Here is a 9,728-nt window from a genome sequence, read left to right as displayed (position 1 = left end):
CTTAGTCTCCCGAGTAGCTAGGAGTACAGGTGTGCACCACACCTGGCTATTTAAAAAATTTTTTTGTGGAGACGGAGTCTCCTTATATTGCTCAGGCTGGTCTTGAACTCCTGGACTCAAGTGATCCTCCGGTCTCAGCCTCCCAAAGTGTTGAGATTACAAGAGTGAGCCACCACCTCATACCCCTATCCCTCCCTTCTAAGAAAAAATACTAAACCCAAATATCGTTGAGGTCTCAAAATACAAATAGTTCAGTTCTGAGACATATGAATTGCCCTAGTCACTCAGTAATGACTTTGGAAAAACACACAGGCTAATGTATCCTTTTCAGCAGATAACATTTCTAAGGCTGTCCACAGGGACACATTTATTTTTAGAGTCCTGTGGCTAGCACACTAGCCTAGGGCATGATTGGTCTCTTCATTTCTGCTCTCTTTAGGGTTGAAGGCAGTTGCTGCAGTTGAATCAACTGTGTCATGAACCAAACTAGTAGCCACCAACACAAATGTTTTAGTTGGGCCTTGGGCTTTTATTTTGTAGCTAGAGTCATCATTTCTCTTTGGTTCCATTCAGAATCTGAAGGGAAAACTCTTTGTAGCCGTGATGAATTTTTTGGGGAACATAAATTGTTAAGTGTTGATTCTCTGACTGAAAACCTTTTTAGGTGGTGATGTTTTCACTGCTGGATACAGCTGTTCCTATTTAGATATGCAATCTCTAATTCTTGGTCTAAATGCTGGTGCCCTTATTAAAGAGTTGTTCAGGCCAGACGCAGTGGCTCATGCCTGTAATCCCAGTACTTTGGGAGGCTGAGGCGGGTGGATCACCTGAGGTCAGGAGTTGGAGAGAAGCCTGGCCAACATGGTGAAACCTCGTCTTTACTAAAAATACAAAAATTAGCCTGGCTTGGTGGCGGGCGCCCATAGTCCCAGCTACTCGGGAGGCTGAGGCAGGAGAATCGCTTGAACCTGGGAGGCGGAGTTTGCAGTGAGTCAAGATTTTTCCACTGCACTCCAACCTGGGTGACAGGGCAAGACTCTGTCTTTAAAAAAAAAAAAAAAAAAAAAAGAGTTGTTCAATTGCATTTCATGGGAACCTGCAATTCACGGCAGCCAAGTTTCCAAATTGTTCGTTCTTTGCATAGCATCATTTCTTTTTTCTTTCTTATGTGGAATCTTGTTAGCATTAAATAAAATGATTTTTTTTTCAAGTGAAAGGACAGTCAGGAAGAGAGGAGAACAAGACCCTAATTCTGGCAGGAGCAGGACTTGAATTATTGGGCTAAGCATAAGGAAGGAATTCTTTCAGAGACAGAGAAACATTAAACACCAGTTGTAAGCAGTAAATTTTATCATTGAGGTGATACCAATATATTAATCACTGTAAACAGTCTATCATCCAAGTCTAAGGCTCCTTGGATGTTTTTTTGCCATAGTTGGTTGCTCTTCGCAGAATTTACACATTTTGAGGGCATTTTCTTTTAACTAGCTTGGGAGGTAGGGGCTGGGGGAGTTGCTGATGAGAAAAACAAAGACATGAGCCAAAAACAAATGTGCAAATAAGTGCAATGGGAATGATTGGATAGACTCACCTCTCAAGAAGACAGAGGAGAAACTATTGAGAAGTGGTTCTGGTAGACATGCTCAAACAGCACAGGAGGTACTTGACCTGTTTTGTTTTGTTTTTTTTTGAAACAAGTCTTGCTCTGTCACCCAGGCTAAAGTGCAATTATGCAATCTCAGTTCATTGTAACCTCCACTTCTCAGGTTCGAATGATCCTCCTATCTCAACCTCCCAAGTAGCTGGGGCTACAGGTGCATACCACCATGTCCAGCTGATTTTTGTAGAGACGGGATTTCCCTATGTTGCCCAGGCTAGTCTCGAACTCCTGGGCTCAAGTGATCTGCGCACTTCAGCTTCCCAAAGTGCTGTGATTACAGGCATGAGCCACTGTGCCCAACCAGGAGTTACTTTAATGTGAACGCTCCATAGGTATGCTGTGAGGAGTTATTAATTGACCTTGTGAGAAAAGCAGCAACTAATTCAGACTGCTTTGAAAATAATGGCTGGAAGTCTTTTTGCCTTGAGAACACAGATTAATGAAAGAGTTTTGGCTATCTTGAAAATAGGAAAGAATAAATAAATAAAATGTTTTTAACAGTTGGTTCCATACTTTTGCTTCTAGTATTCTTGAAAACACATTTCTCTCACTTAATTTTAGATTATAAAAGCACTCTGCTGGATGTGGTGGCTCACGCCTGTAATCCCAGCACTTTGGGAGGCCGAGGCGGATGGGTCACCTGAGGTCAGGAGTTCGAGACCAGCCTGGCCAACATGGTGAAACTTTGTCATCGTGAAAAATTAGCTGGGCGTGGTGCCACGTGCCTGTAATCTCAGCTACTTGGGAGGCTGAGGCAGGAGAACCACTAGAATCTGGGAGGTGGAGGCTGCAGTGAGCTGAGATCCCACCACTGTACTCCAGGCTGGGTGACAGAGTGAGACTCTGTCGCAAAAAAAAAAAAAAAAAAAAGCACTCACTGGTTAACCTTCCTAGGCATCTAATTCTCCTCCAGTTTAATCAATTAGTGATTATTAGATTATAAGACTTCCTGAATTTTTCTTAGAGGAGACTGATTTTACCTTTGTTTCTGACACTCAACTTTCACCACATTCTGATGATCTTGGCTCAGTGACCAATTACAAAGCCAAGAACATGTTCCATCTATGAGATTTCTCTTTCTCTCTCTCTCTCTTTCTTTTCTCCTCTCCTCTCCTCTCTTTCCCCCTTCTCCCTTCCTTCCTTCCTGTCTTTCTTTTTCTCTTTCGTTGTCTCTCTCTCTTTGTTTCTCTCTTTCTTCCCTCACTCCCTCCCTCCCTTCCTTCCTTCCCCTTCCTTTCCCTTCTTTCCCTTCCTTCCTTTCTTTTCTTTTGAGACAGGGTCTCACTGTGTTGCCCAGGCTGAGTGTAACAGCACAAACACAGCTCACTGCACACTCAACCTCCCAGGCTCAAGCAATCCTCCCACCTCAGCCTCCCAAGTAGCTGGGACTACAGGGACTACATGCTTATGCCACCACACTTGATTAACTCTTTTGTGTATTTTTTTTTTGTAGAGATGGGGTTTTGCCATGTTGCCCAGGCTGGTCTTGAGCTCCTGGCCTCAAGTGATCTGCCAGCTTTGGCCTCCCAAAGTGCTGGGATTACAGGCACAAGCCACCCTGCCCAGTGAGGTTTTTTTTTTTTTTTTTTTGAGATGGAGTCTCCATCTGTTGCCAAGGTTGGAGTGCAGTGGTGCGATCTCAGCTAACTGCAACCTCTGCCTCCCCAATTTAAGTGATTCTCCTGCCTCAGCCTCCTGAGTAGCTGGGATTATAGGCATGGGCCACTAATTTTTGTATTTTTAATAGAGACGGGGCTTTATCATGTTGGTCAGGCAGGTCTCGAACTCCTGACCTCATGATCCGCCCGCCTCGGCCCCCCAAAGTGCTGGGATTTCAGGCATGAACAACTGTGCCTGGCATGCCCAGTGAGATTTTTAATTGTCCCTGGCTCTCTAGGTGTTGGTCATTTGTACCTCACGTACCACACTCAACCTGTTCATTACCGTAAGTCTTCAGGACACCACCTGTTTTCTGCCTAGGTGGATCACAAAAAAGTGTTAGGGCCTTTTTATAGTTTGAAGTCAAGTCTTGTTGCTCAGATCATACTTTCCTATTCAACCCCTCTCTTCTCTGCTCCCTCAAAAGTAGTAACAATAAAACCTATAGGTACTTTTTCATTTTCCTCCACTGAAACATTGAGCTCATTCAGGTCTCCAGGTCTGCTCCCAGATTCAGCTCCAGGACCCCAGTGAGGCCTCTAAAAGTCCGTCTAATTCAGTTTTTATACAAGGGATATTTTTCTCCAGCCTGTCCAAGGTGAGGATGTCCAATTCTTTAACTTTCAATAGAAAATATTAAGTCAGATAAAATCACAAACTTTAACACAATTATCACTTGCAAGAGCTTACAAATCTTCCTTGTTCAATTCTGAAGAGCTAAATAAAAATGCCTTCAGTACATAAGGAGCACTCAACCTATAAATAGGATCCATTCCCAAGTATACATTGGTTGTTTAGAATGCTAAACATGTTTTTGTTTAAACAAAGATTTATTGAGAGCCTAATGTGTGCTAGTCACTTTTTCCATGAAAACAATAGAATGAGTATTATTTCGGTTCCAGGGCCAGCTCATTAAAGCCTTTTTACCTAACGTGGAATTAAACTATACCACAAATTGCGCAAGTCTTTTTTTTTTTTTTTTGAGGCAAGGTCTCGTTCTATTGCCCAGTCTGGAATGCAGTGGTGCTATCACAGTTAACTGCAGCATCAACCTCCAGGGCTCATGTGGTCCTCCTACCTCAGCCTCCAGAGTAGCTGGGAATACAGGTGTGAGCTTCTACCACACTACCACCAACCCCCATGACAACACTGCCCCCCACCCCCGGTGGCAAGTAATATCTTTGAGTCTTGGAAACAGCAGACCACGTGATAAGAGAGGAGGGAGAAGAAGGAGAAAGAATAGAACTTTCTCTCCCTGTTGTGGCAACTGACTAGCCCTAGGACCAATGATTAGTAAATACTTATTTGAGTCTAGGTGCTATTCTAAATGCTTTACATAAGTAGCTGTTTAAACATATTAAGCATATGTTTTGGTTTGTGTTGTCATTCATCTTCCTTCTGTACCCCTTCTCTACTCTTTGAGAGCCTCTCTCTATGGTGCAGGGTACAGCTGTGGACCTGGGCACTCCCTCTGCCTCTTGCACTGGCCAATTCTACCCACCAAAGTGTTCCATGCTCTCCATGTCCTATTCTCCAACCTCTACTCATCAAAATCCCCATTTTCTCAGTGTAGCTAATCTCAGGTGCTAGGAAGAAACTTTCCAGAGATTGATTGATTGATTGATTGATTGATTGATTTGGAGATGGAGTCTCACTCTGTCGCCCAGGCTGGAGTGCAATGGCGCAATCTCGGCTCACTACAACCTCCGCCTCCTGGGTTCAAGTAATTCTCTTGCCTCAGCCTCCAGAGTAGCTGGGATTGCAGGCACCCGCCACCATGCCTGGCTAATTTTTTTGTATTTTTTTTAGTAGAGACGGAGTTTCATCATGTTGGTCAGGCTGGTCTTGAGCTCCTGACCTCAGGTGATCCATCTGCCTTGGCCTTCCAAAGTGCTGGGATTACAGGTATGAGGCACTGTGCCCAGCCGAGATGCTTTTATTTTTAAAGAGGATACCTCAGAAATCAAATGCATTTCTTTTTTTTTTTTTTTTTTTTTTTTGAGACAGGGTCTCACTCTGCATAGTGCAGTGACACAATCACAGCTCACTATAGCCTTGAACTCCTAAGCTCAAGCAATACTCTCACCTCAGCCTCCCGAGTAGCTGGGGCTACAAGCATGTACCACCAGGTCCAGCTAAATTTTATTTTTAAAATTTTTTGTAGAGACACGATCTCGCTATGTTGCCCAGGTTGATATTGAACTCCTGACCTCAAGCAATCCTCCCACATCAGCCTCCCACAGTATTGGGATTATAGGCAAGAGCCACCGTGCCCAGCATCAAATGCATTTCTGGTGGCATTCAGGCAGATGGATCTGGCAGTGAAGGGCTGGCAAGGGGGTCCTGGTTACTGGGTAGAAGTGTTGGTCCTTCTTAAGAGTCAGTCCTGGCCAGGTGTGGTGATGTGCACCTGTAATTCCAGCTACTCAGGAGGCTGAGACGGGAGGATTGCTTGAGCCCGGGAGGTCCCGGCTGCAGTGAGCTATGATTGCACCACTGCATTCCAGCCTGGGTGACAGAGCAAGACCTTGTCTGTAAAAAAATCAGTCCTTGGAGGCCACACCTCAGAGCCATTTCTATTTTTATAGCCTCTTCCCTTCTCCACTTCTGAACATAAAGGAAGCACAGGGGGAAAGTACCAGCTAAGGTAAATTAGCACCCTCAGCTTCTCTTAAATTCTGTAGAACACAGCAAGGCAGGGGCAGTGAAGACAGTTGTGAAGGAGATGGAGTCGTCATTGTGACCAGTTTCCTATTCTTGTTGCTAATGTGCTAACAACTGTATCTGCTGACTACTGACTGACCCATATGAAAATTAATTCATATTTACCCAACTTCGGGGGACCTATCATAAAGAAAGTCTTTTTTTTTTTTTTTTTTTTTTTTGAGACAGGGTCTCACTGTGTCACCCAGGCTGGAGTACAATGGTGTGATGTCGGCTCACTGCAACCTCTGCCTCCTGGGTTCAAGTGACTCTCCTGCCTCAACCTCCTGAGTAGCTGGGACTATAGGCATGTGCCACCATGCCCAGCTAATTTTTGATTTTTAGTAGATATGGGGTTTCACCATGTTGGCTAGGCTGGTCTCAAACTCCTGGCCTCAAGTGATGCACCGGCCTCAGCCTCCCAAAGTGCTAGGATTACAGGCACGAGCCACCATGCCCAGCCGGAAAAGAAAGTCTTAAAATTAATTTCAACAAATCCTTAGCCCCTGATGGTATTTTTTTCTATCAGCTTTTAATGATGACAATGGACTAAAGCTTTCAAAGGCAGGAACTGCTGGTTTATCTTCATCATCTTTTGAGGATAACTTTCTGATGTAAGAATTAATTATTTCACAAATCTTTGCTTGTCAGTCTTCTACACAGGTCAAGACTCTATTAGTCTTTATCTTTTCCAAATTAATAATGCAGATGCCAAAAGAAATGACATCTTTTCAACTCAATTTTCATTTTTATTATAGCAAAACTGCTTTATATATTTAAGAGATGAATTTTTAAAATTATAGTTATACTGAAAGAAAAAAATGAGTGCAAGAATACTTATTAGGTGCTCCCTTACAAGTAAAAGGGATATTTATGCCTCTTATTTATTTTAATGTTTTTTTCTAATGTACTTACTATGAAATTATATACAATGAGATATAAGCGTATAATAGAATTGCCACGTGAATCACAAAGTTTGCTTCCAGATATTCTTTTTATTAACCAGTTCATTAAAGCAAGCCTATTGCCTGCACAGATCATGCTAACATTTATTTACTATTTGTGGCTCTTGTCATATTAGGATCAATCATTTCTGTTGTTATTTATGTACTTTTTCTCCGTCCTGTTAGACTATGGGCTACCTGAGGAAATTTCTATTATGTTCACCATATTCTATATCCCCAGAGTGTTTATACCTCTGGCATAAAATAGACCTCATAAATATAATAATCGTATGTTGAGTAAACAAATGATATCACTAAGCACCTGAGATAAGTTCATTGCGATAGCTGAACAATGAATTTGGCAAAGTTTCTAGGCAGTTAAGGATTAAGGAAAACCATATTGGTCTATGTAACTTTTCTTCTAACTAAAAAAGCATGCACGTAGAGACAGTTTTTCTTGAACTAAACTCAAAGACATTGAGTAACAGAAATGACCACATCTGTGGTTTCACAGGACAACCAAATGGCTATTCAAATGAATTATTTTATGACCCTCTGTAAAAGTTTATATTACATTTAACTAATAAGAATGTTGTCGCAGATAACAAATTATATGGCCCAGGTGCATTGATAGCAGCTAACGAAGACCATTTAGTGTTAATTGCTTAAGCTTTGAGTCAGAAAGATCTGGGTTTGCATCCTGGCTGCACCATTTAGAAGCTGTGTAATCTTGGCAATTTACTTACTCCCTCTGAGCCTGTTTCCATGTCTGTCAACTGTGACACTAATCCCTAATCATAAATGTTCAAATTAATGAGATAATTTGTGTTATCCTCCTAACAATAAGTAAATGCTCAAGTATTATTCACCAGCAATATTGAAGCAAAACTAGAGGGATTTGAAAGAATCAATAATAACCATAATGATAAATCAGTTTTTTCCCAATCTCAAGACCTTAAGTAAGCATTATGCAAGTGGCATCTCTCAGTCAATTCTTAACTAAATGTTTCAGGTCAGTATGGGAAATGGAGAAATGTTATGTTGATAGCTAAGGGGAGAGTATGTTTTAGATACCAGGTAGTAGGGAGCAAATTAGTTCTACTAGGAAAGAAAAACATCCAGACTTTTTATCCAAACAGTATTTTCATTCAATTAATCAGAAGTACAGACAGCAAGAGTGCTTGGGGATATAGTCAAACTCTTTTATCAAAACTTAAACAGGCCGGGTGCGGTGGCTCATGCTTGTAATCCCAGCCCTTTGGGAGGCCAAGGCAGGCGGTTTACAAGGTCAGGAGATCAAGACCATCCTGGCTAACATGGTGAAACCTCATCTCTACTAAAAATACAAAAAATTAGCCAAGCATGGTGGCGGGTGCCTGTAGTCCCAGCTACTCACGAGGCTGAGGCAGGAGAATGGCGTGAACCCAGGAGGTGGAGCTTGCAGTGAGCTGAGATCAGGCCACTGTACTCCAGCCTGGGTGAGAGTGAGAGACTCCATCTCAAAAAAATAAAAATAATTAAAAAAAAGACTCCATCTCAGAAAAAAAAAAAAAAAGCTTAAATAAGTACTTGATTGAGGTTCCAAGTGCCACCTAACAAGAAAGAGCAGCAGAAAACTATGTCATCTTGATGGACTGCCAGATGAGTCAAGTAAAGAAAATGCACCTCCCAAGGTGGTGAATAAATTGAGATACCTTTTAGATCTGCTTAAGGGCTCTGTTAAAATGTTGCAAACTTGGCTAGACACAGTGGCTCACGCCTGTAGTCCCAGCACTTTGGGAAGCTGAGGTGGGTGAATCTCCTGAAGTTAGGAGTTTGAGACCAGCCTGACCAACATGGTGAAACCCTGTCTCTACTAAAAACACAAAATTAGCTGGGCGTGGTGGTGCGTGCCTGTAATCCCAGCTATTTGGGAGGCTGAGGCAGGAGAATCGCTTGAACCCTGGAGATGGGGGTTGCAGTGAGCTGAGATTGCTCCATTGCACTCCAGCCTGGGCAACAAGAGCAAAACTCCATCTCAAAAAAAAAAAAAAAAGAAAGGCCGGGTGTGTGTGGTAGCTCACGCCTATAATCCCAGCAATTTGGGAGGCTGAGGTGGGCAGATCACCTGAGGTCAGGAGTTTCAGACCAACGTGGCCAACATGGTGAAACCCCATCTCTACTAAAAATACAAAATTAGCCAGGCATGGTGGCGCATACCTGTAGACCCAGCTACTCAAGAGGCTGAGGCAGGAGAATCGCCTGAACCCGGGAGGCAGAGGTTACAGTGAGCTGAGTTCGTGCCACTGTACTCCAGCCTGGGCAACGGGAGCGAAACTGTCTCAGGAAAAAAAAAAAAAAGTTGCAAACTACCTACAGAGTACAACTCTTCAAGTTTGGGAGTAATGACCAGCAAGACATTTGTCAGCAACTCCTCAATAGGTCTGATTGTTTCTTAGGACAACTTTTGTTATAAGAAACCAGAGAGGCTTGGACAGTGGCTTACACCTGTAATCCTAGCACTGTGGGAGGAGGCGGGAGGATCGTTTGAACTCAGAAGTTCCAGACCAGCCTGTGCAGCATAGTGAAATCTCATCTCTACTAAAAGAAAAAAAATTACCAGATGTGGTGGTGCTTGCCTGTAGTCCCAGCTACTTGGGAGGCTGAGGTAGGAGGGTCACTCGAGCCTGGGAAGTCAAGGGCTGCAGTAAGCTGTGACAGTATCACTGCAAAAGAAAAAAAAAAAAAGGCCGGGCATGATGGCTTACACCTATAATCCTGTA

This window comes from Homo sapiens, chromosome 12 (assembly GCF_000001405.40).
Source record: "Homo sapiens chromosome 12, GRCh38.p14 Primary Assembly".
NCBI classification, from domain to species: Eukaryota; Metazoa; Chordata; class Mammalia; order Primates; family Hominidae; genus Homo; species Homo sapiens.
This window is presented reverse-complemented; position numbering follows the sequence as displayed.